The sequence below is a fragment of the Homo sapiens genome, chromosome 5, assembly GCF_000001405.40.
Source record: "Homo sapiens chromosome 5, GRCh38.p14 Primary Assembly".
In the NCBI taxonomy this organism is placed as follows: domain Eukaryota; kingdom Metazoa; phylum Chordata; class Mammalia; order Primates; family Hominidae; genus Homo; species Homo sapiens.
In genome coordinates this window covers 122,835,927-122,862,061 of record NC_000005.10, presented here as the reverse complement: position 1 = coordinate 122,862,061, position 26,135 = coordinate 122,835,927, and the positions used below count along the sequence as shown (strand labels likewise).

General features: G+C 42.2%; 1 protein-coding gene and 1 long non-coding RNA gene across 12 annotated transcripts in view, besides 4 other annotated features; one reads left to right on the top strand and one right to left on the bottom strand.

Moving 5' to 3' along the window:
- SNX24 (sorting nexin 24) overlaps window positions 1–16,449 on the bottom strand; it is a 183,706-nt gene extending 167,257 nt beyond the window's left edge. For all 10 annotated transcript variants that reach the window (NR_146145.2, XR_001742058.2, XM_017009395.2 and 7 more), the window contains exon 1: window positions 16,369–16,449. Coding sequence is in view for 8 of the 10 variants with exons in the window: in XM_017009395.2 (XP_016864884.1) it covers window positions 16,369–16,428 (60 nt within the window). In the remaining 2 variants the exon portion in view is untranslated. The remainder of the gene's footprint in view (window positions 1–16,368) is intronic.
- Window positions 1,104–1,318: a silencer, noted in NCBI's record as "fragment chr5:122196439-122196653 (GRCh37/hg19 assembly coordinates)". NCBI's record gives its function as "represses an EF-1alpha promoter that drives an FKBP-Casp9 reporter gene in an ReSE screen in K562 erythroleukemia cells {active_cell/tissue: K562}" and the evidence as "EXISTENCE:reporter gene assay evidence [ECO:0000049][PMID:32094911]".
- Window positions 1,498–2,467: an enhancer, noted in NCBI's record as "OCT4-NANOG hESC enhancer chr5:122195290-122196259 (GRCh37/hg19 assembly coordinates)". NCBI's record gives its function as "activates a minimal SCP1, AML or CMV promoter by ChIP-STARR-seq in naive H9 embryonic stem cells {active_cell/tissue: H9 hESC(naive)}" and the evidence as "EXISTENCE:reporter gene assay evidence [ECO:0000049][PMID:30033119]".
- Window positions 15,995–16,674: a silencer, noted in NCBI's record as "silent region_16271". NCBI's record gives its function as "represses an Ori minimal core promoter by ATAC-STARR-seq in GM12878 lymphoblastoid cells {active_cell/tissue: GM12878}" and the evidence as "EXISTENCE:reporter gene assay evidence [ECO:0000049][PMID:35858748]".
- LOC105379154 (uncharacterized) overlaps window positions 16,513–26,135 on the top strand; it is a 57,613-nt gene continuing 47,990 nt past the window's right edge. Inside the window, exon 1 of one of the 2 annotated variants that reach the window (XR_007058917.1) lies at window positions 16,513–17,688. This is a non-coding gene — a long non-coding RNA (uncharacterized LOC105379154). The remainder of the gene's footprint in view (window positions 17,689–26,135) is intronic. The other variant, XR_007058916.1, reaches the window with a different exon arrangement.
- Window positions 16,975–17,124: a silencer, noted in NCBI's record as "silent region_16270". NCBI's record gives its function as "represses an Ori minimal core promoter by ATAC-STARR-seq in GM12878 lymphoblastoid cells {active_cell/tissue: GM12878}" and the evidence as "EXISTENCE:reporter gene assay evidence [ECO:0000049][PMID:35858748]".

Genomic DNA, 26,135 nt, shown 5'->3' with positions numbered 1-26,135 from the left:
CTCAGCCTTCCAGAGTGAGCTTTCATGTCAGCGGCCCCTGCCCCGCAACACCAATGCAACCACTGGGAATGGGGGACACAGAATAAGTAACCACAAAAATGAATTTTTGCTCTACCTGTCTATGTAACCTCAATAATCAGATGAATTTCCATTAGCAAGAAATAGAGAAAAGGGTGAGGGTGTAAAGAGAGAAGCTTACAGTTTATAAAACAATCCCTACTAAGAAAAGGCAGCTGGTGAGATTCAATTCACCTACTGGCTCTTCCTTAGAATGAGAATTATAAAATCAATGAGAAGAGGGGACTAGCATATTTCAAATACCAACTCACTCTCCTCAAAAAAGAAAAAAAAAAGCAACTGAAAAGGGACACCATATTGGGCGTTTCAAATATACCCAATCTAATAATCAGAATTTAACCAGCAAATTACATGGGATCTGAGAGGGCTTTTAGCTTTGTGGAAGGTTTTCTGCTCCTTCTAAAGTTTCCAGGAAGGTTAAAAAAAAAATCCTCTGAGAGTTTTCCCAAATCAAATGAAATAGCAAATGAAGTGAGGCAATGGTCCCGTACTCATGAAATTCACTGCTTACCATATTCCCCATCATCCTGAAACAGCTGGCTTGGTAGAATGATGGAATGACCTTTTGAAGACTCAGTTACAGTGCTAGCTAAGTAGTAATACTTCGCAGGGCTGGGTCAAGTTTCTTTTTTTGGGAGGGGTGGTGGACAAAGTCTCGCTCTGTCACCCAGGCTGAAGTACAGTGGCAGGATCTCGGCTCACTGCCAACTCCACCTCCTAGGTTCAAGCAATTCTTGTGCCTCAGCCTCCCAAGTAGCTGGGATTACAGGGGCGCACCACCATGCCCAGCTAGTTTTTGTATTTTTAGTAGAGACAGGGTTTCACCACGTTCGCCAGGCTGGTCTCAAACTCCTGACCTCAAGTGATCTACCCATCTTGGCCTCCCAAAGTGCTGGGATTATAGGCGTCAGCCACTGCACCCAGCCTCAAGTTTCTTTCTCTTCCATTTATTTATTAGATTGGGAACATAAAGGAAGTGGTAAAAAGACCCCACCTGAGTGAAACTAAAATTAATTCTCAGTTACTATGAGATGACATTTTCCTACTATGATAGATAATTAAATAATTCAGCTTTTAAAAATTTTCTTGGCCGGGCGCAGTGGCTCATGCCTGTAATCCCAGCACTTTGGGAGGCCAAGGGAGGAGGATCACAAGGTCAGGAAATCGAGACCATCCTGGCTAACACAGTGAAACCCCATCTCTACTAAAAATACAAAAAATTAGCCATGCATGGTGGCAGGCGCCTGTAGTCCCAGCTACTAGGGAGGCTGAGGCAGGAGAATGGCGTGAACCCGGGAGGCAGAGCTTGCAGTGAGCTAAGACCATGCCACTGCACTCCAAGCCTGGGCAACAGAGCGAGACTGTGTCTCAACAACAACAATAAAAAAATTATTTCACTCTTTAAAAATTGTTAGAAATGTGGTATGCACCTCTCACTGTTAGTGCCCCTTCATCTCCTACAGGGCTAATCTGATTCTACAAATGGAATAAAAGATAGAGTAAGACTTCTTTCAATGTTTAGAGTGGCCCAAAAATAACAAACACAGCCTATGAGCTAGGACCATGAGCCAGGAACTTTGGGGAACTTACACACATAAAGCACATCAATGGTCAGTCTATGTCTTATGTTAATTATGAGGACTAAACTCTGATTTTTTTTTATCTTGCCCAAATTCCTATCTAAGCGGTCTGGGAGTCATGCCCACAGATGGGTTTTATTTAACCCTGTATATCATGATTTACTTTCCAACCTGACTCTGGCATAACATTAGGAGAGAAAGAAGAACATCAAAATATTTTACCCTGAAACACGTTTCTTTGCCATGTTTTGACGGCCCTGCAAAGCTGTTCTTTGTGGGGAAAACTTTGCATCTGTAAAGAATCTGTATTAACACAGCTAGAAGATCTTTTTCTTCCAGACCCTCCCAATCCTAAAGAGATTAACTAAGATCTGAATAGGAAACATTTGTCACCTATTGTCTCTAAGGGCAGCCACTATTAGACTTCAAAAGAACTTTGGTCTCTACAATCTTTATCTTAACCTGAACATTCCCTTTTTATCTATCCCAGGTTTTTAGGCAAACTCAACCAACTGTCAACCAGAAAATATTTAAATTCACTTATAGCCTAGAAGCTTTTGGCTTTGAGTTGTTTCACCTTTCTGGACAAACCAATGTATTTCTTAAATGTATTTGATGTCTCATGCCACTCTGAAATGTATAAAGCCAAGCTGCACCCTGACCACCTTGGACACATGTTCTCAAGACTTCCTGATGGCTGTGTCACGGGCCATGGTCACTCATATTTGGTTCAGAATAAATATCCTCAAATATTTTACAGAGTTCAACTCTTTTCATCGACAATTATTATTATTTATTATTTGAGATAGTGTCTTGCTCTGCCACCCAGGCTAGGGTGCAGTAGATTGATCATGGCTCACTGTAGCCTTAACCTCCTGGGGTCAAGCAATCCTCCCACCTCAGCCTCTCAAGTAGGGACCATAGGTACATACCACTATGCCCAGCTAATTTTTTAAATTATTTGTACGGTGAGTTCTCACTATGTTGCCCAGGCTACTCCTCAAATCCCTGGGCTCAAGGGATCTTCCCACCTTGGCCTTCCAAAGTGCTGGGATCACAGGCATGAGCTACCACACCCAGACAAATTTATTTTGTTGGGGGAACAGGATCTCCATATGTTGTGCAGTCTGGTCTCCAACTCCTGGGCTCAAGTCTGCTTTGGCCTCCTGAGTACCCGAGACTGAAGGCATGAGCCATTAACTTTTTCCTTTCCCTAAATCTCTTAAGGAAAGACTAAGATAAGCAGGTCTCATTCATTCATTTATTCAAGTGCCAATGATTACAATATCCAGGCAAATGATTACAATATCCAGGCATGATACCTAGAAATCAATGGCATTAAAACAGACAAGGTCAGGCTGGTCCTGGTTGCTCACACCTGTAATTCTAGCATTTTGGGAGGCCGAGGCAGGTGGATAGCTTAAGTCCAAGAGTTTGAGACTAGCCTGGGCAACATGGTGAAACCCTATCTGTACCAAAAATACAATAATTGGCCAGGCGTGGTGGTGGGCACCTGTATTCCCAGCTACTGAAATAGTGAGACATTTAAAATAATAAATACAGTTTTATAAACTTACTCACAGAAAGAAATGAAAATGATTTTTAACCATATAAAAAGATGTTCAACTTCATTCATAAGTCATAAAATCATGAATGACATTAAGAATTACATTGTGATACTATTGTTCACCTATCAGATTGGCACAAATCCAAGAGCCTGAGAACACTCAGTTGGCAAGCTTGTGAGGGAGGATATACACTCATAAACTGCTACAGTAATGCATAATACCACAGTCCCTATGGATGGGAATTTGACGACATCAGCTAACATTAAACATGCATGTAATTTTTGGTCCAGTAACCACTGCTAGAAATTTATTCTAAAGACTCATTGACAAAAATACAAAAAGACATGCACACAGGCTATTGATTGAAGACAAACAATGGAGAACAATTCAGATACAGGCTTTACCTTGTTTGACTATACTTTGCTTTAATGTGCTTTGCAGATACTGCATTTATTACAAATTAAAGTTTTGTTGTTATCCTGCATTGAGCAAGCCTATCGGCGGCATTTTTCCAATAGCATGTGCTCACTTTATGTCTCTGTGTCACAGTTTTGTAATTCTCCAAGTATTTCAAAAACTCTTCCATTATTATTTTATCTGTTATGGTGATCTGTGATCAGTGATCTTACAAGTTACTACTGTAATTGTTTTGGAGTTCCACAAGCTACACCCATAAAAAGATGGCAAACTCAATAAATGGTGCTGGCTATCCACAATAGCAAAGACATGGAATCAACCTAAATATCCATCAAAGGAAGACTAAATAAAGAAAAGGTCCTGTAATCCCAGCACTTTTGGAGGCCGAGGTGGGCGGATCATGAGGTCAGGAGTTCGAGACCAGCCTGACCAACATGGTGAAACCCCGTCTCTACTAAAAATACAAAAATTAGCCGGGCATCGTGGCACGTGCCTGTAATCCCAGCTACTCAGGAGGCTGAGGCAGGAGAATCGCTTGAACCCAGGAGGCGGAGGTTGCAGTGAGCCGAGATTATGCCACTGCACTCCAGCCTGGGTGACAGAGCAAGAATCCATCTCAAAAAAAGAAAAGGTGGTACATATACATCATGGAATATTATGCAGCCATAAAAAAGAATGAGAGAATGTCCTTTGCAGGAACATGGATGAAGCTGGAGGCCGTTATCCTTAGCAAACTAACGCAGGAAAAGAAAACCAAATACCACATGTTCTCACTTATAAGTGGGCGCTAAATGATGAGAAGACATGGACACATAGAGGGGAACAACAGACACTGGGGCCTACTGGAGGGTGAAGGACAAGAGGAGAAAGAGGATCAGAAAAAGTAACTATCAGGTACTAGGTTTAGTACCCGGATGATGAGATAATCTGTACACCAAACCACTGTGACATGAGTTTACCTATATAACAAACAGGCATATGTACCTCTGAACCTAAAAAAAAAAAAGTTAACAAATAAATAAATAAATGATGAAGGGATAAGTGGTAGCCATATGTAGAAGATTGAAACTGAACCTCTTCCTTACACCGTACACAAAAATAAACTCAGGCCAGGCACGGTGGCTCCTGCCTGTAATCCCAGCACTTTGGGAGGCTGAGGCAGGCAGATCACCTGAGGTCAGGAGTTGGAGACCAGCCTGACCAACATGGTGAAACCCTGTCTCTACTAAAAATACAAAAATTAGCCGGGCGTGGTGGTGTGCACCTGTAATCTCAGCTACTTGGGAGGCTGAGGCGGGAGCATTGCTTGAACCCGGGAGGCGGAGGTTGTGGTGAGCTGAGATCTTGCCATTGCACTCCAGCCTGGGCAATAAGAGCGAAACTCCGTCTCAAAAAAAAAAGAAAGAAAAATGCAAATCAAAACAACAATGACATATCATCTCACATCTTTCAGAATGGCTATTATTAAAAAGTCAACCATGAAGGAAAGATACTGAGGAGACCCCTGACCCAAAGGAAATAGACTGCAGCACCGAATGGAAGACTTTGGAGTCACGGAAACTTTTCTTTTGAGCTATTTACAGCTTTTAACCATTAAGTAACAGACCAGGTGCAGTAGCTCATGCCTGTATTCCCAGCACTTTGGGAGGCCAAGGTGGGCAGATCACTTGAGGTCAGGAGTTCAAAACCAGCCTGGCAAACATGGTGAAACCCCATCTCTACTAAAAATGCAAAAATTAGCCAGGCATGTTGGCGGGCACCTGTAATCCCAGCTACTAGGGAGGCTAAGGCATGAGAATTGTTTGAACCTGGGAGGCAGAGGTTGCAGTAAGCGGAGATGGCACCACTGCACTCCAGCCTGGATGACTCTGCCTCAAAAAAAAAAAAAAAAAAGACACAGAACTACCATTTGACCCAGCATTCCAATTATTGGTTATATACCCTAAGAAAATAAATCATTCTACCATAAAGCCACATACGCATATATGTTCATCACAGCACTATTCACAGTAGCAAAAACATGAAGTCAACCTAAATGCCCATCAACAGTAGACTGGATAAAGAAATCTCGGTACATATACGCCATGGAATACTGTGCAGCCATAAAGAAAAACAAGATCATGTCCTTTGTGGCAACATGGTTGGAGCTGGGGGCCATTAACCTAACAAACACACACAGAAACAGAAAACCAAATACTGTACATTCTCACTTGTAAGTGAGTTATAAGGGAGCTAAACAAAAGAGCACATGGATACAGAGGGGAACAACAGACACCAGGGATTACTTGCGAGTGGAGGGAGGCAGAAGGGAGAAGATCAAAAACCTACCTATTGGGTACTATGCCCATTACTTGGGTGATGAAATAATCTGTACGCCAAACTCCTATAACATGCAATTTACCCATATAACAAACCTGCACATGTACCCCCGAACCTAAAATAAGTAAATAAATAAAAGATGGCAAATTTAACTGACAAATGTTGTGTGTTTGGGCTGTTCCACAGACCAGCAATTCCCTGTCTCTCTCCCTCTCCTTAGGCCTCACTATTCCTTAGGACAAACAATATTGAAATTAGGTAAATTAATAACCCTACAATGGACTCCTCATGATAAAACTTTAATGGGTAAGAAGTTGCTTCTTAAGGAAGGGCAAAGAAAGTGGTTTCTTGAGATGGAATCTACTCCTAATGAAGATGCTGTGAACACTGTTGAAATGACAACAAAGGATATAGAACATTACACAGACTTAGCTGATAAAGCAGCAGCAGCATTTGACAGGGTTGATTGCAATTATTTTTTAATAGAGATTGGGTCTCATGAGGTTGCCCAGGCTAGTCTCAAACTCCTGGACTCAAGCAATCCTCCTGCCTTGGCCTCTCTAAGTGCTAGGATTACAAGTTAGAGCCACCATGCCCAGACACCTGAAACCAATTTTGGAAGAATTTCTGAGGGTAAAATACTATCAAACAGCATCACATGCTACAGAGAAATGTTTCAGGAAGTGTCAACTGATAGGGCAAACTTAATTGTCTTAGGAAATTGGCACAGTCGGCTGGGCGTGGTGGCTCATGCCTGTAATCCCAGCACTTTGGGAGGCTGAGGCGAGCAGATCACGAGGTCAGGAGTTCGAGACCAGCCTGGCCAACATGGTGAAACCGTCTCTACTAAAAATACAAAAATTAGGCGGGCATAGTGGCCTGCACCTGTAGTCCCAGCTACTTGGCAGGCTGAGGCAGGAGAAATTGTGGAACCCAGGAGGCAGAGGTTGTGGTGAGCCAAGATTGCACCACTGCACTCCAGCCTGAGCAACAGAGCGAGACTCTGCCTCAAAAAAAAAAAAGGAAAAGGAAAAGAAATTGGCACAGCCACCAACCTTTTGCAACCACCACCCTGATCAGTCAGCAGCCATCAACATCAAGGCAAACAAAGATTCCCACTCAGTGAAGGCTCAGATGATCATTAGAGTTTTTAGCAATAAAATACTTTTTAATTAAGGTATGTACATTTTTTTAGACATAATGCTACTGCACACTTAATAAACTATAGTGTAGTGTAAACATTTATATGCATTATTAAACCAAAAAATTAGTGTGACTTGCTTTATTAAGATAATCACTTTACTGCAGTGGTCTGGAACCAAACTCACAATATCTCTGAGGTATACCTGTACAGAAGAGAATGATACATCTTCATATATGTCCCTGTGCAGTGATCTCCAGGATATATCATTAAGTAAAAAAAGCAAGTTGAAATAAAATGTTTTAGTATACCACTGTTTAAGAAAAGGAGTGGAGACACAAATATATTAGTATGTGTTTATATTTTTTTCAATGGAAGGATAAGCCATAAGATTTTTTTTTTACATAAGTAACACTATGTTTTTTTTTTTGTTTTTTTTTTTTGTTTTTTTGAGACAGAGTCTCGCTCTGTTGCCCAGGCTGGAGTGCAGTGGCATGATCTCAGCTCACTGCAAGCTCCGCCTCCCGGGTTCACGCCATTCTCCTGCCTCAGCCTCCCAAGTAGCTGGGACTACAGGCACCCGCCACCACGCCCAGCTAATTTTTTGTATTTTTAGTAGAGACAGGGTTTCATTGTGTTAGCCAGGATGGTCTCGATCTCCTGACCTCGTGATCCACCCGCCTCAGCCTCCCAAAGTGCTGGGACTACAGGCGTGAGCTACTGCACCCGGCCTACACTATGATTATTTTTATATGCATCTTTTGATCCCATAAATCTGCTAGCAGTAAGGGCTTCTATATACAGAAGAAAAAATAATTCCCTTTCATCTGTGTAGTGCTGGGGACAGCCTCATACCACTTTTTTTTTTTTAAATAGTAATCGATGAGAGCAGAAGATAACAAAGTGAGGACAAAAGCAGATGCTGAATTTCAGTAGATAAACTCGATGCAGTGTGTTTGATTTAGAATTATGACTATGCTTTACACAAATACAAAACAAAATTAGTTTTTTAAGAATTCTTAAAAATACAAAATACAAGACTGGGTAGCTAGCTTGTGTTTTAAGTAGAGAACCAATCCAAGTGATTTTAAAACCAGTCATTTGATTGTACACTCCTAGTGGAACAGGCTGAAGAACAAAATAACTTATTTGGTTTATTTTCAAGTTCTTAAGGCAGGCACAGTGGCTTACGGCTGTAATGCCAGCATCTTGGGAGGCTGAAGCGGTAGGATCGCTTGAGACCAGGAGTTCAGGGCCTGCCTGGGCAACACTGCAAGACCCTCACCTGTACGAAAAAAATTTTTTAAAATACATAAATTTGAAAATAACATCTAAAAAAAAGTTAAAACATATTTCTAGCTCAATGAAAACAAGCTTGCTTGTGCCCCCAAATTTCTAAGCAACATATTTCCAAAATTCAATCCTCTTGTGCCTATTTTAATTCTTAAATGAATGTACCATTCTAAGTTTGTTAATGTTCAAGAAGAATGTTTTCAAACGGTATTTCTTGTCCTTAAGGGTAAGGAACATACCGCCGGGCGCGGTGGCTCACGCCTGTAATCCCAGCACTTTGGGAGGCCGAGGCGGGTGGATCACAAGGTCAGGAGATCGAGACCATCCTGGCTAACACGGTGAAACCCCGTCTCTACTAAAAAATACAAAACATTAGCAGGCCTTGGTGGCGGGTGCCTGTAGTCCCAGCTACTCGGGAGGCTGAGGCAGGAGAATGGCGTGAACCTGGGAAGCGGAGCTTGCAGTGAGCCGAGATCGTGCCACTGCATTCCAGCCTGGGCAACAGAGCGAAGAATCCGTCTCAAAAAAAAAAAAAAAAAAAAAAAAAAAAGGCTAAAGAACATATTTTACACATGCTTGATTTAATCATTCAACAAATATTTAATGTGGGCTTCTGCTATGAGCCTACCATGAATGAGGCACTGTGCCAGCTACGTCCTTGTTACACAATGGCCTCCTTCATTGTACATGCTGGTAATGGATGACTGAAGGACATGGCGTGGAATTGTGGTCTTCCTGACATCCTGCTGCCCTTCTCCCACTGTGATGCCTGAGGGGTTTGGTGACAGGAATGGACTAACCCATTCCCAGTTCCAGAGATGCCTCCTATTTTAACTCCATCTGGTTAACCTACCCTCCTTGCCATGATGGTTGGTTAAGATAACCCTGGCCTCAGCAAATTGGCACTGGAATTCCTCTGCAATTCTGTGTTGAAAAATCAACTAGGGCTAATGAGAAAGAAACTGAAGGGAGACTTATTTGCTCAGGGGTTCTAGGGAGAAAAGTGTCCTTACTATTAAATGCGGCTGGGCATGGTGGCTCATGCCTACAATCCCAGCACTTTCAGAGGCTGAGGTGGGTGGATCACTTGAACGCAGAAGTTCGAGACCAGCCTGGGCAACATGGTGAAATTCTATCTCTAGCAAAAATACAAAATTTGCCGGACATGATGGCATGCACCTGTAGTCCCAGCTACTTGGGAGGCTGAGGTGGCGGAATCACCTGAGCCTGGGGAGGTCAAGACTGCAGTGAACTTTGATTGTACCACTGAACTCAGCCTGGGCGACAGAGTGAAACCCTCTGTCAAAAAAAAAAAAAGAAGCTATTCTGAAACAGAAGAGTCACTCTCAGGTAGCCAGGCTCCCTCACTCAGTGTCTCGGACTTGTTCTCAAAAATACAAAATAGTTCAGCAAACCACCACGGCACATGTTTACCTACGTAACAAAGCTGCACTTTCTGCACATGTATCCCGGAACTTGAAGTAAAATAAAATTTTTAAAAAAAGAAAAGAAAAAAAGAAATATATACATATATATATAGATATAGATATAGATAGATATGTGTGTGTGTATATATTTATACACACACACATATATAAAATAGCACTACAGTACCAATAAAATGCACACAAATCACTGTTAATTCCAAGGCAGGGTTTACATTGTGCTTATTTTAAAACCAACAAAAACAACCAGAAACTGGATGCTATTAAGGTATTGATAATTTTGCGGTAATATTTACATTTTGGTTATGCTTTTTAAAAGTTTTTACCTGTCAGGTATACACTGTAAAATTATGCAGATAAAATTGTTTTGAATTTGCTTAAAAATACTCCAGAATTTTTTTTTTAAAGACAGGGACTGAGGTGTAGTGAATGAAAGAATTATAAAATATTGAAGGTAATGGGTAAATGATAGTTTATTAAATTGTTCTATTTTTGTAGTTTAATCCATAAAAGCTTCAAAATAATAATGATCATAATAATATTTCACATTATGATCCTATATATAAGAAGCTGCCTTGTGTACTGAAGAGCATGCTACATTTCTAAGTGTTTATTAAGTAAATCAGTGATAGTATCCAGGTCCCAAGAAGATATATATGTCTACGCATAACACATGCAGTCACGCAGGTACTTAAAATGGACTTGAATCTAATTCAACGCTGTGATTTTTACAGCTATAAAAACTGAAGTCTAAGTCTGGGTGTGGTGGCTCATGCCTGTAATCCCAGCACTTTGGGAGGCTGAGGCATGTGGATCACTTGAGGTCAGGAGTTCAAAGACCAGCCTGGCCAACATGATGAAACTCCATCTCTACTAAAAATACAAAAAATTAGCCAGACATGGTGGCTCGTGCCTATAGGCCCAGCTACTTGGGAGGCTGAGGCAGGAGAACAGCTTGAACCCAGGAGGCAGAGGCTGCAGTAAGCCGAGATCACACCACTGCACTCCAGCCTGGGTGACGCAGGGAGATTTTGTCTCAAAAAATCAAAAACAAAACCAAAAAACTCAAGTCTAATACATTCATACTTTTGTATTGTGACCTAAGTAGTAATTCTAGTTTTGTTATTTTTGTCAACAATGTATCTTAAAATTCAAACTACAAGCCTACAGTGGCATCCAAGACCTATTATTCTCAGTTCTTAGAATGGACTGCTGTCCATCCTCAACTTGCAAGACCACTCAGGAGCATCTGGCACTTTCTTTCTTGTAAAGCATCTTCCACCCTCTCTCTTCCAGCCTCACACTCCTTGGTTTCTTTCTCCCTCTGGCTTCTGTGCTGGGACTTCTTTGCTTATTCAAGTTCTAAGGTTTTACCCTTGGCCCTCCCTCTTTCCTCACTCTTTCTCTGTGGGTTTTTTTTTTTTTTTTTTAACTTTTATGCTGAATGTCCCCTTAGAGCCATATTTCTAAGCCAGACTTAAATCCACCCTAGACTCCAAAATCAAATAGCTATACCCATCACCAAAAACTCAGTGGGTGCCCAAATGAAATATCTGCCCTGCTTCAGTTCTTATTTGCTTACTGGTACCTGCACCCACGGTAGTCACACTGCTGCTGTACATCTGGTCACCAGGTACTGGAGATATCTGCAGTCATCACTTCCTTTCCATGTTCAACGCTAAAGTCTTAGTTCTAGCCTTCATCCTCTCCTTTCTGATCATTTTTAAGTGTCTCTTAAATGATGAATACTCCAGAATCATCGCTACAGTCTGACTGTCTCCCCCAAATTCTCATGCTGAAATTCTAAACCCAATGTATTGGTATTAGATGGTAAGGCCTCTGGGAAGTGATGAGGTCATGGGCAGAGCCCTCATAACTGGGATTAGTAACCTTATAAAATAGGTCCCAGTGAGATCTTTGCCACTTCTACACAACAAGCAGGGATCACCTACAAACCTGGAAATGGACCCTCGCTAGACACTGAATCTGCTAGCACCTTGATCTTGGACTTCCCAGCCTCCAGAACTGTGAGAAATAAATTTCTGTGGTTTATAAACTACCCAGTTGATTGTATTTTGTTAAAGTAGCCTGAACTAAGATAGTCATCTTTCTAAATGCAAAGCTAATCATGTTACTTCCTTCCTTAAAATTCTCCTATGACTTCCCTGTCTGAAGGTCCACACTCCCTTATAGCTCTCAAGGGGAGTCAGCTGATCTCTCCCCACTATTCTTACTGCAATCACTTCGCACAATCCTGAAATTCCAGTCTGCAGCACAACCCTCCACCTAACTCTCTGAGCTGCTACACACCTCAAGATCACTGCTCTTCTGGTTTCTCTCCTCCTATGAAGATTACATCACTCATTATTCATTCAACAGACATGTACTGAATTCTGTATTAGGATACAACAGTGGAGATGGACACTACCTAGCCTCAAGGAGTTTATAGCTTGGGGATACTTGGGGAGTTTATAGCAGAGGATATTAAATAAGTAAGCCATTGGGTAGGGAATGGGACAGAATAATCTCCCCAGGAAGTAACATTTGGGTGCATCTGCATTTTCTTACACTACCATCTCCTACTTCTTCACAAACTTATTTAGAGGTGCCCCTCCCCCCCCCTTTTTTGGGGGCATATCTGAGTTTTAAAATGGCTTATAAGATTTTGTCCTGTATTTCCTCTTTCTAAAATTCACAATCCTAGCAAAAACCTAATTAGATTTCAAAGTCAGCATTTCCTAAGCACCCCCACCTCAGCACAGCCACCCTGCCAGGCCAAACTGACCTCTCCCTCCCTCAGGCCCCTGGATACAAGGCTCCAGCTGACATTGGGTCACCCTAACCTTTCCCGGCCTAGCTCTGAGCAGCTTCTATATGGGCTGAGAATCCCTAAGGGCAGGAACACCACCCTTCCATCTTTAAATCGCCACCAACACAGTACAGGCCCACAGTAAATAAAGCTTTACATGTTTAAAGGGCAAAAATTCATTCTTTAAAGGTAAATTACTTAGTACACTGAGAATAAATTTGTATAAACTTCTTGAATAACAATCGTGCAATATCTGTAAAAACTGTAAAGGGCTGGAAATACCACTTCTAGTTAAGGTTCTACAGAAATCCTAGTAGTGGGCATAAAAAATCATGTCCAAGGATTTCCTGGCCATCAGCAGATACCTGGGGAAAAAATTACGGCACATCCTACCGTGGTAGAGCCCATCTCCAGTAGTTAGAAAGAGGAGGCAGACCTCTCCATATCAATATTGAAAGATGTCTATAAATTGTAAGATGACAGCTATACTAAAATCTTGCCATTTATTTTTTTAAAAGAAAAAAAAGTATGTGCTCACAGCACAAGGAAAAAATTCTAAGATACACCCAGAAACTTTACTTCTGGGGGAATGAGACTAGAAGCAAAGAGGAGAAACCACCCATTTCTACCTTAAACTTCCTATTACTGAATTTGTTAGAATGTGATGTAATGTGTTTTAAATTTTATTTTTATTTTTTATTTTGAGATGGAGTGTTGCTCTGTCACCTAGACTGGAGTGCAGTGGCGCGATCTCGGCTCTCTGCAACCTCCGCCTCCGGGGCTCAAGAGATTCGCCTGTATCAGCCTCCCAAGTAGCTGGGATTACCCGCGCCCGCCACCACGCCTGGCTAATTTTTTTTTTTTTTTTTTAAGTAGAGATGGGATTTCACCATGTTGGCCAGGCTGGTCTCGCCTCCTGACCTCAAGTGATCCGCCCACCTCGGCCTCCCAAAGTGCTGGGATTACAGGCATGAGCCACCACGCCCCGGCCGTTTTAAATTTTAAACACAAACACAGGTCGGGCTCAGTGGCCCGCGCCTATAATCCCAGCACTTTGGGAGGTCAAGGTGGGAGGATCCCTTAAACCTAGGAGTTTGAGACTAGCCAGTGCAATATAGTGAGATCCCATCTCTACAAAAAATACAAAAATTAGCCAGTTGTGGTGATTTATGCCTGTGCTACTCAAGAGGCCAAGGGGGAAGGATCACTTGAGCCCAAGAGTCCAAGGCTGCTGTGAGCTAGGATTGCGCCACTGCACTCCAGCCTGGGTGACAGAGCAAGATCCTAGCTCTTAAAAACACACATTCACACAAACATAATCGCTAAAGTAAAAAGATATTTTTTACACGAAAGTGTACATTATTTTACAAGCTTCTTATTTAGGAAACTGAAATATTTTTTAAATTCTGGGGTTTTTTTTAAGCTGCTATATTCATAGCTTATTCACTGCTATATTCCCTACACCCAGAATACAGACACAGAGCAGGCACTCAGTAAATATTTGTTGAATGAAAAACCGCTGTACAATCATAAAACCAGTTGTGCAGAGGGGAAAAGTATCTAATAACTGCTTCACAAACTCACAGAAGCAAAAAAATCCCTTCAGAAGGTATTTTAGGGCTGGGTGTGGTGGCTCATGCCTGTTATCCCAGCACTTTGGGAGGCCTAGGCAGATGGTTTGCTTGAGCACAGGAGTTCAAGACTAGCCTGGGCAACATGGAGAAACCCTGTCTCTACAAAAAATTTAAAAATTATCCAGGAGTGGTGCCATGTGCCTGTAGTCCCAGCTACTCCAGGGGCTGAGGTGGAAGGATTACATGAGCCCAGGAGGCAGAGGTTGCAGTGAGCTGAGATCACCCCACTGCACTCCAGCCTGGGTGACAGAGGAAGACTGTCTCAAAAAAAAAAAGAGAGAGAGAGATTTTAACAGTTTAGCTCCCAATCTGGATGAGTTAGGATTTTTTTTAAGCAAATATTTAAAGAGCAAACTCTCATCACATAAGCAATCTTCAAACTCTCCCGAATTTGTCCAAAAAAGAGCTCCTTCCACATCAGTTTAATTCACAACCTGGAGTGTGGCACATGCCTGGTCATAAATACAAATAATAAAAAGATACATAAAGCTTTGGGAGAAAAGCACAGCTCGTCTAATAGAAGAAAATCAACAATGGGCAATGAGCCTTAATTATGGTCTATTTCAAAGTGCTTATTTCTGCAGGTAATTAACTTTTAGCTTGAACCGGTAAGATCAACTTCATCTTTTCTTTGAAAGCCAACGCCTCTAACAAGCAGCCTTTTTATCTTCAGATCCTAAATGAATGTCCCAAAGATGGTAAGCCCTCCATGACTGTTGATAGTGCTGATGGGAGAAGTGAGATACCTGGGAGAAGCAACAACAAGCAAGGTTTTAGGCTTAAGAGACTTGGATAAAATCTCCAAGAAAAAAAAAAAAAAGCCTTGAACAAACTCGAGGGTTTGTTTGTTTGTTTTTAAGGAAGATACAGACTATTTAACGAAATGTGAATGCACTGGAAAGGATTATTTATATAAATAACTACCACTATGGAACACAGCTCCCTCTCCCTGCATTTTCCTTCCCAAGGAAAGCACTTTAACAACTTGTTTCAGAACACTTGGATCCAGCAGTCTACTCAATTCTAAAAACCCACCGACTTCCTGGACTATTTTTTCAATCACTGTTTTTCATTCTAAATCTTCCTTTGAGAGGGTAATTTAGTCCCAACTAAGAAAACACAATGGCCCAAACAGACTGTCACCAAATACCAGTAATATTTAGAGGAGGGGAGAGGGGTTAAAATATTCTCCATCAAAGTAATGTAACTGGTGTTTAGCAAGTGTGTGATTGATGTAAATAAAATAACAAATCTTTCAGACTGCCCTGCAATCTTTCTTCAACCCTACAGGTTCTTTAACAACTGGAAGTAAATTCTTCCAAGGTGTACACACACTCAGACATTTCTCCCACTAGCAATGACTGTCCAGGAAAGAATGTTTTGAATTCATTGGGAAATCTCCACCAACAATTCACTTAGTAAACGTGTTGCTCAAAGGGCCCATGCCCTGGTCTCTGCCCTCCCCTTCACTCTTGAGAGCAGGGGTCCTGTTTCACACTTCTCGGTGACCACAGTCCTAGGTATGAAACAGGTGCTCAGCAAGTAATTTTGCCATTTCATGGAACTGCACAACTCAAAAAGAAAAATCTTTGGAAATCATCTAAAATCAATACACGTGTTTAGTTTGGCTAATAAACAGCTGCAAATTATGATTTAAAAAAAAAAAACAGGTTTTCCAGCTGAACTAATTGTACAGAACTTGGAAGCCAGCGTGAATCTGCCGCGAAGCTACTACTGTCTGGACTGAGGGGGCAGCTGTGCCAGAAAGGAACGCAGCCCATCCTGGGCTCCCGAAGGCGGGCGGCGGGGAGAATGGCTAGTGCCGCGTCCGAGGACTGCAGCTCGTCCGGGAGGAGAGGGTTGGACCCCGAGGGGCTAGGGGCGCCCGCAGCCGCCGTGCCCGGGAGGGGCGCCCGTTTCCTTGACAACCGCGCCAAGGGCGCAGCCCTTCCTCTGGGCCGGGGGAGGGGAGAGAAAACGAGGGGACCCCCTGCGCCAAGGCGGCGGCGGCCAAGGGTGTTTCCTGGGCGCAGCAGCCGCAGGCCTGGCTCGCGGGGCCCTGTCCGCCCGCGGCCCGCGCCTACCGTGTATCCCCGCTCCAGGTCGCTCTCTTCATAGCGAAAGGACGGGATGTAGACCTCCATGGCCGCGCCGGCCAGCCGGCTGAGGGCGAGTTGGGGGCAGGCTCACGGCCGCGGCCGCCGCTCCGCCCACGGCCGGGCCGCCCCGCCTCCCGCCCCGCTGCGCCCGCGGGGCCCCGAGGCTGCGGGCCGGACTCAGGTCTGCGGGCTGACCCGGCCGCTCCCGCGCCCTGGGCGTGCCGGGGGCCGGAAGCAGAGGGCGCAGGGCTCCAGGCGCCTGGGTTTCGGGCCTAACGGGCGGTGGAGATCAGCTGGGCCCGAAAGAGGCGGGGCCAGAAAACCTGAGTCTGCAGAAACGGGGTGTGCGCGCCAACGCGCTGGGCGCGGGGACTGGGCCGCACCCGGCGCTCCCTGCCCTGCGGACTCCGGCTGGAGCTTGATTTGCAGTTTGCTAGACGCCACCATTAAGAGATTGCCAGACAGCAAAGAATAGAAAGAGTGGCGCTTTTAACTTTTGTTTTGGTTGGTTGAATTTTTTTTTTCCCTCTCGGCTGGCATTAACAGCGGTGAACCAGCCGGCTTATACCAAGACTCTCCGAATTCCCTTCGATTCGAAGGTCAGCGTCTCCTGAGTTAGACGTCGAATCTGAGAATGGTGGTGTACCACAGAGCTCGAAAGTGAGCCCGAAAGTTGGCCGGTCACTAAGACAAACGCTCTGGCTTCACGCTGCAGTTCTAAAATGCCGCCTTTAACTGTGAAGTACTTTTTAACTGTGAGGGAAAAATAGAATACGGAAAAAAAAAGGACTGAACCCGTGCCTCGGACCAGGGTCTAGTAGGCTGAAGGTACCTAAAAGATTAAGTGTCCCGGCGGGGGAGGCTTGATTATCAAGTTAGTCAAGTAAACGTTGGGTTTCTTCTTTAGGTTAGCGCACCGAGCAGAATAGAAACGTGGACGTGACTTGTAGGTCACTGAGAAGTGACCTCAGCCATCCAGGAAAAAACCAGCCAGCGAGCTTTCTTGGACTGTAAACAATTGCACTTAACTCCGTTTGTCCTTGAGTGCAGAGGACATTTCAGCTTAGCAAACTCTAGACTTTATGATGGGACCCTGAGCCGTGCAACAGAGGGATAAGGCAGCTTCTCGTTTTAGGAACTTACCTGATGTGGACCCCTCTACATTAGTCTCATCTGAAGATCCGTCCTCCTAACCCAGCACTCACACATTTGCAGCTCCAGGATGTGCCCTTCTCTCAAAACTGTGCCTTAGCTGTGCCCTGTGACTACACACCTTTCTTTCACTTCTGGCCAGCACCTCCTGAGGTAACTAACCAGCTCTGCGGACGATAAGCTATCTGAGTTCAGAGCCCAGCTTGTAGGTTACCTTAAGCCTCTGGTGACTATACACTGTATGTATGATTTATTTATCTACCCTACCTACTAGGTTTTAGGGCAAGCATGCTTTTAAAAACTCGTCATCTCGTGGTTGGCATAGTACCCAGCACGTAACTTACGTAAGTACTCGTCTTTACAAAACTAGTGGAATGCAGCAGGTACTATGTTCGGTATCACATAATGTCTCATTTCATCTCTATAACAATCACATGGCCGGGCGCGGTGGCTCATGCCTGTCATCCCAGCACTTTGGGAGGCCGAGGTGGGTGTATCACCTGAAGTCAAGAGTTTGAGATCAGCCTGGCCAACATGATGAAACCCTGTCTCTACTAAAAATGCAAAAATTAGCCAGATTACAGGGTGGTTACTCACCCCTGTAATCCCAGCTACTTGAGAGGCTGAGTGGGAGAATTGCTTGAACCCATGAGGCGGAGGCTGCAGTAAGCCGAGATCACGCCACTGCACTCCAGCTTGGGTGACAGAGCAAGACCCTGTCTCAAAAAACAAAAACAAAACAAAAAACCAGTCACATGAGGAAGCGTTATGATAAGACACAACATGAGTTTCAAGGGCCTCCCACCTCAGCCTCCCAAGAATCAAGTTTTTAATATGCTTTCCATAATATCCTACAACCTGTTAGTAGCCTAAAATATATATTTTGGTAATGGCATGGCTCACCCATTTACCTGTTGGACTTAGGCAGAAATGTGTGATTCCATGAAGGTCTGATAAATGGTCCAAATGATATCCATTTGCTGTATTCCACTAATAGCTGTGTATAATTTACTTTTCCCTTGCTGAAAATGTATACAAACTATCAATGTGTGGGTGTGTTCTTGAGGGTCTATTAGCCCAGCCATAAATGGTAATTGTTACGATTTCAGTTATTATAGATGGCGTAATTCAGGCTCACGGAGAGTAAGTATGAAATTACTAGCTAATAATTAGAAGAACTAAATTTCTAACCAAATTCTCTGAGTCTTCCAGCCACCGAGGAAAGGGAGAATAGAGCACCAAAGTAAAAGAACATGGCAAATGTATTTTCCTGTTGTTCCTATGTTATCTTTTAATCCAACTCTACAGTCTGTAACAGGCCAGCTAAATATCTTTTCCTCAAAACATTAATAAAAATGCATGCTAAATACAAATATAAAACATTGAACAGTTAGTATCTATTAATAGAAGCAAACAATTTTCAGGAGCAAAATAACAAAATTCTGCTGGAATCTGGGCATAAAATTCTTACACTAAAAGTACATTTACTTAGTATTGGGTAGAAATATACTTCAACAAATTGAGATAAACTGCTTTAACACTAACATTTAGAAGTTTTGACTAAAATGTAAATCGAATATATTATACGTTCAGCATTCAGTTATAAGATTAATACATCATGACAAAGTAAGATTTATCCCAGAAATGTAAAGATGGCTAAACATTAGGACATCTTTTGATGTATTTCACAATATTGTCAGATTAAAAAATATCCCAATAGATTCTGGAAAAAATTAATGAAACAGTACAACTATTCACACAAATTCTTAGGCTAGAAGTAGCAAGAAATATCTTTAATTTGATAGATTAATGTCTTAGTCCCTTTTCTGCTGATGGAACAGGATATCACCGACTGGGTAATTTATAAAGAATAGAAGATTATTTGGCTCAGAACCTGGGAAGTCGAAGAACATGGCCCTGGCATCTGTGAAGGTCATCTCATAGCAGAAGGGCAAAAGAGCATATGAGAGAAAGAATTAAGGGGCTGGGTTCACTTCTTTAACAATCTGCTTTGAGAGAACATCAAGGGGGAAGGTTACGTTGAGAGAAATGAAGGCAAGAGAGAGGGGACAGGCATAAATTGGAGGATTTAGATGTGATGAGGTAAAAGCAGATTTTCTGTTAATGAAGGAGAGAAGAAATGAGAAAGTAGTGAAAGGAGGAAAGTTAAGTTTCAGAAATGCTGACATTAATTTTTAGTGTACTGGCAGTTTTTAAAAAAGAATTACTTCAATATGAGCAAAAATTTGGAAAGAAACGCTTCAGATACCTTTGCTATCTTAACTCAGAAACCTGTACAACAGGTCAGGCGCGGGTACAGTGGCTCATGGCTGTAATCCCAGCCTGGGCATCTCAGCAAGACCCTGTCTCAAAAAAAAAAAAAAAAATATGAGTTGCATTTAAAAAGACTGTTGTACAGATTTTTTTTTTTTTTTTTTTTTGAGATGAGGTCTTGCTGAGACGCCCAGGCTGGAGTGCAATGGCGTGATCTTAGTTCACTGCAACCTCCACCTCCTGGGTTCAAGCGATTCTTCTGCCTCGGACTACAGGCACGTGCCACCACGTCTGACTAATTTTTGTATTTTAGAGACAGAGTTTCACCATGTTGGCCAGGCTGGTCTTGAACTCCTGACCTCAAGTGATTCACCCCCACCGGCCTCCCAAAGTGCTGGGATTACAGCCATAAGCCACTGTGTCTGCGCCCGGACTGTTGTACAGGTTTCTGAGTTAAGATAGCAAATTGAAAATATATAACTAATTTCAACCTTCTAGCCCCAGTATAAACGCAAGTAATTTTTCCCTTTTTTTAAAAACCCACAGAGATAGAAAAAATAGGAGAGGAGAGAGCAAGACATTTGTCAGCTGAAAAGCAGATAGAAGGGAAGAAACATTTTTAGCAAACGAGAAATCCCAATCTTAAACCAACAGCAGGAAAAACAGAACCAACCTGATTTACACAGCACAATACTCAAAAGGCGCCACAAAAGGAACAATAGGTACCTCTAGAATGGAAGGTAATTGGCTAAAATAAGGAGTCTTGGTAAAAACTGAGAATCAGGAAGATCCATTGTTCCCTCTACATCTGGAGAATATTTCCTCTAGAGAGGGAAAAAGAAACAATCTTTGCATTAGAAGTTGACTGGCCCGCCGGGCGTGGTGGCTCACACCTGTAATCCCAGCACTTTGGGAGGCCAAGGCAGTTGGATCACCTGAGGTCGGGAGTTTGAGACCAGCCTGACCAACATGGAGAAACCCCATCTCTACTAAAAATGCAAAATTAGCCGGGTGTGGTGGTGCATGCCTGTAATCCCAGCTACTTGGGAGGCTGAGGCAGGAGAGTTGCTTGAACCTGGGAGGAGGAGGTTGCAGTGAGCAGAGATCATGCCATTGCACTCCAACCTGGGCAACAAGAGTGAAACTCCAAAGAAGTTGACTGGCCCAGCTGAGGGCAGGGATACTTTTATCAAAAATAATTGGAGTCTGAGGGTAAGTGATCCTACACATACTGAATAATGAATGCTGACACTCTATAAAGGCTGGCAGCAACACCTTTACCTGCTAGGCAGGCAACAGGAAATGTATTCTCTGCGGGAATCTAAATAGCTCAATAGGAAAAACTTCGAAGATACCAACATTGAAAGTCTCCTACAAATAGCCCAATGAGATCACTCTTCAGTGATGCTCTAAGTTGACAGGCCCCATAACTACTCCCAAAGCTTCCAGTCAGCTTTCAAATCCCACTGCTAATCATGAAGAGACATCTAACAAGTAACATATCTGAGGAAAGCATCTAACATGGAAGAGATACCAAAATAGAAAAACAATTTGGAAGAAACAAAAACCAGGAGGGGGGAAAAAACTTATAAAGTAAACTGTCACTAATATTTTCAGAGAGATACAGGAAGACATTGCATCTATGAAACAAGAACAGGAAGCTGTTAAAAACAGAAACAATCAGAAAACAGAAAAAGAACTCGTAGAAAGTAGAGCAAAATGACAGAGATGAAAAATAGGAGCAAAAATCAAATCCAGGTCATCCAATATTCAAACAATGGAAATTCCAGAAAGAGAAGACAGAGAATACAGAAGAAAGGAAATCATGGGTGAAATAACTCAAGAAAATTTCCACACCAGAATGTCATGTTTCCAGATTGAAAGTCCCCACACAGGATGAAAACAAACACATGCTATTAGAAATCTTTTTTTTTTTTTTTGAGACAGTGTCTCACTCTATCACCCAGGCTGGGGTGCAGTGGCACGATCTTGGCTCACCCGCAACCTCCACCTCCTGGGTTCAAGCAATTCTTGTGCTTCAGCCTCTAGAGTAGCTGGAATTACAAGCACATACCACCATGCTGGGCTCATTTTTTTTGTCTTTTTAGTAGAGACAGGGTTTTGCCATGTTGGCCAGGCTGGTCTTGAACTCCGGACCTCAAATGATCTGCCCACCTTGCCCTTCCAAAGTGCTGGGATTACAGGCGTGAGCCATGGCACCTGGCCACTGTTACAAATCTTTACATTATTTCAGAACACTGGAGATAAGATCCTATAGTCTTCAAGGAGAGGAAGAAAACAGCTCATTCATACACAAAAGATTAGACAAATCAGCGCTTTGGAATTCTCCACAGCAACACTGGAAGCTAGAAGATAATGAAGCAATGTCTTCAAAATTCCAAGAGAAAATTTTTCTAATCTATACTCAAATTATCTATAAAAATTAGGGTAAAGTCTTAAAAATAGGTTAGGTACGGTGGCCCACACCTGTAATCCCAGCAATTTAGGAGGCTGAGGTGGGTGGATCACCTGAGGTCAGTAATTTAAGATCAGCCTGGCCAACATGTTGAAACCCCAAAATCTCTACTAAAAATACAAATTTAGCTGGGCATGGTGGCTCGTGCCTGTAATCCCAGCTACTCAGGAGGCTGAGGCAGGAGAATCGCTTGAACCTGGGACGTGGAGGCTGCGGTGAGCCGAGATCATGCCACTGCACTCCAGCCTAGGTGACAGAGCAAGACTCCTTCTCAAAAAAAAAAAAAAATTGACTTTTGATGTATTTGTTTTTAAGAACCTACTCTGTATATTCACCAAAATGAGGGAATAAATCAAGAAAGAGGAAACTGTGGGGTATAGAAAACAAAAGATACAACCCAAAGGAGAAGCAAAGGAAATCTTTAGGATTACCACTGTGCAATGAGTTTAAAAAGGTAACTAGTACAGACTAAAGCAACATGACTCAAGAAGCAGGCGTTTTGAGGTCTGTCTTCACAATGTTGTCTGCTGTGTCTTCCTTTTAACCTAAAGGAACTACTGGAAAATATGCTTCACCAACACAAGAAAATATACCAAGAAAGAGGAAGGCCTGAGTCTCAGGATATAAGGAATACATGCCAGGAGAATGGTAAAGGCAATTCCAAATTTGAGAGCAAGAGGAGTCCAAGGATAACACTACAGCAAGTCCAGAAAGCACCAGCCCCATAGAGAAGTCCCCAGGAGAGAGGGCTCAAAGGAAAACATTTAGAATGGCTAGATTACCCAGTATGGGTGGTCTATGGGAAAATGTACTGAGACACTATTATGGGAAGACATGGGAAAAATTAGCAATAATAAAAAAAAAGCACCAACCACATGAAAAAAATCAAGGCATGTTTTACCTGAGGGAAAAATAGCAAGGTAATAGAAAACAAGGAGAGCCTGAGAAACTGTCACAACCAAGAGCAGAAGGAGTCATGACAACTCAGTGTATCCTGGATGTGGTATCCTGGAAGGGGTCCTGGAACAGAAAAAATGCATTAAGCAAAAACAAATGAAATCTGAGTAAACAACAGACTTTAGCTAATAATAATGTTTCAGTATTTATTTATTAGTAGTAACAGGTGTACTATACTAACATGTTGATAGAAGAAACGGTGCAGGGTATATGAGAACTCTATATGTATTACCTTCACATTTTTTCCGTAAATCTAAAACTTCTAAAACAGTTTATTTTTTAAAAAAGGAAGAAAATCACAATACACTTCAACTTTTAGCTTTGAATAATATTTGCATAGGCACAATAATGCAAACACTGATTTAACAAAAAGATTGCAATGTAACTACATTGAAAGGGTGGGGAAGAAATGTGTAAAGCAGAGAGATGGCAGAGTGAGAGAACCAAACTGATTTACCATAAAAAAGATAAGTAGGTAATGCCCAAAATTGATGATTGATAGCAATATATGCCTATTATTTAGAAATGTGAAGGTATATGATGGCAGGAGAAACAGCTAAGACTAGAAAGAGGTTGTCTCTGAGGAAAAGGATTAGGAAAACAGGACACGTGGGACAGAGAACCATTGTTTTTTATTTAGCCTTTTTTTTTTTTTTCTTTCCAGACAGGGTCTCACTTTGTCATCCAGGCTGGAGTGCAGTAGCATGAACACGGCTCACTGCAGCCTCAGCCTCCTGGGCTCAAGCAATCCTCCCAACCTCAACCTCCCTAGTAGTTGGGATTACAGGTGTGAGCCATCATGCCCAGCTAATTTTTTGTATTTTTTTGTAGAGACAGGGTTTTGCCATGTTGCTCAGGCTAGTCTCGAACTCTTGAGCTCAAGCCATCCACCCAATTTGGCCTTCCAAAGTGCTAGGATTAACAGGCATGAGCCACTGCACCTGGCTATTTAGCGTTTTCAATGCTAGTTTTCAGATTATGTGCATGTATTAATTTGATAAACATCAACTAAAATAAATCAAAAGGATGAAGTAGACTGTAATGCATTGACAAGCAAGAAAACTGCCAAATAATTGACAAATCAAAAAGCAAATTCTAGGCTGGGCACGGTGGCTCACACCTGTAATCCCAGCACTTTTGGAGGCCAACGTGGGCAGATCACCTGAGGTCAGGAGTTTGAGACCAGCCTGGCCAATATGGTGAAACCCCGTCTCTACAAAAAATACATAAATTAGCCGGCCATGGTGGCACGTGCCTGTAGTCCCAGCTACTCCGGAGGCTGAGGCAGGAGAATTGCTTGAACCCGGGAGGTGGAGGTTGTAGTGAGCCAAGATCATGCCACTGCACTCTAGCCTCAGCGACAGAGTGAGACTCCGTCTCAAAATAAAAATTAAATTAAAAGCAAATTCTAGGAATGCCACAGAAATAACCCTGATGGCATTACTAAATACAGGTTGGTTGCCATTTTGAAGTTATTCTCTTTTTCAAAACGTGCCAACATACTAAAAATTAACGTCTTCATTTCTGAAACTTAAGTTCCCTCCTTTGACTACTTTCTCAATTCTTCTCTCTCATTCTCTGGTAGAAAATCTGCTTTCACTTCATCACCGCATTGAAATCCTCTAATTTATGCTTGTCACCTTTCTCTTGCCTTCATTTCTCTCAATGCAACTTTCTCCCTAAATGTTCTCTGAAACCCACCAACAATCCCCAATACTGAAAAAAATCCATCAGTTTTAGGTCATACTTTCTGATGGCTTAAGAAATATATATTTTCTTCAGTTGGCTTCACTGTAAACTCATGATTTTCACTCATTTGAAAATTAGCACTCATCAATAGTCCTTTTACTCATCCCCTCCCTTTTTTTTCCTAAACATGTGCCATTCTTTTTTGGTATCTAATCTTCTTTGGCCTTTCTGCTGACATTACTCCCTGATGGCTTTCTTACTTTGCCAAAACAAAAAATGTCCTGCCTTTTTTTCATCTCCAAATACACTCATTCTTCCCTTTCCTTTTGTGCAGAGTAAGAAATATCCCCACTTCTTTCTGAGACTCTTTCCATCTACCTGACTTCTTTCTTCCCTTAGATATTAGTTTTACCCAGGATTTTTGAAATTTGCATGCAGATTTCAAAATGGATGGATAAATGAAAGAATAAATGAAACTTGCCATCTTAATTACGGTTTCCCTAAATTACCTCCTTTCCTACTTCCACTACAGTGGTTCAGGCCTTTACCATCACTTGGCTGGTTGACTGCTGCTGCATCGAATGTTCTTATAATTTTTTCACTCACCATCTTCCTTCCATGATTTACTATTTCCTCTGGCTTACAACATATTCAAGGTTCTTACATGTGTTTGGGTGGAAGTGAACTTTTCTTTCCCTAATAACCATATTTCTATTTCATCCTTGGTCTCCAGGCTTTTTAAAGGTTTCTCACATTTACTGATAACATTCATTTATCTATAGTAGAGTATCTCTGTAGTGGATGAAGTTCTAAACTTTTGTTGGCTGAATACAAATTGATTTTGACTGCCTGCTTTTTTCCCCTCCACCTCTGATGCTCAGCCCCAGGGCTCCCAGTGTGGATCTCCTAGGGCATACTATTCTGGGAAGGGCTCTTTTTGGTAAGCCTATTTAGACCATAGTCAAGCATAAACTCGTTGTTTTGAAGAAGCCCTAAAGACTGGTGAAATAATCGAAATGTGAGTACTTTGTTCAGACTGAGATGTTAAGTGTTCAGTAACATTTATTGGATATATGATAGCTAATATTTTATAAAGCACTTGCTATTGCTAAGAAATTCACATCATCTTAGTGTCCTTAAGGAGCATCTGAAGGGACACTTTCCATTATACAGATAAGGAAAGTAACTTTTAGAGATAAATAAC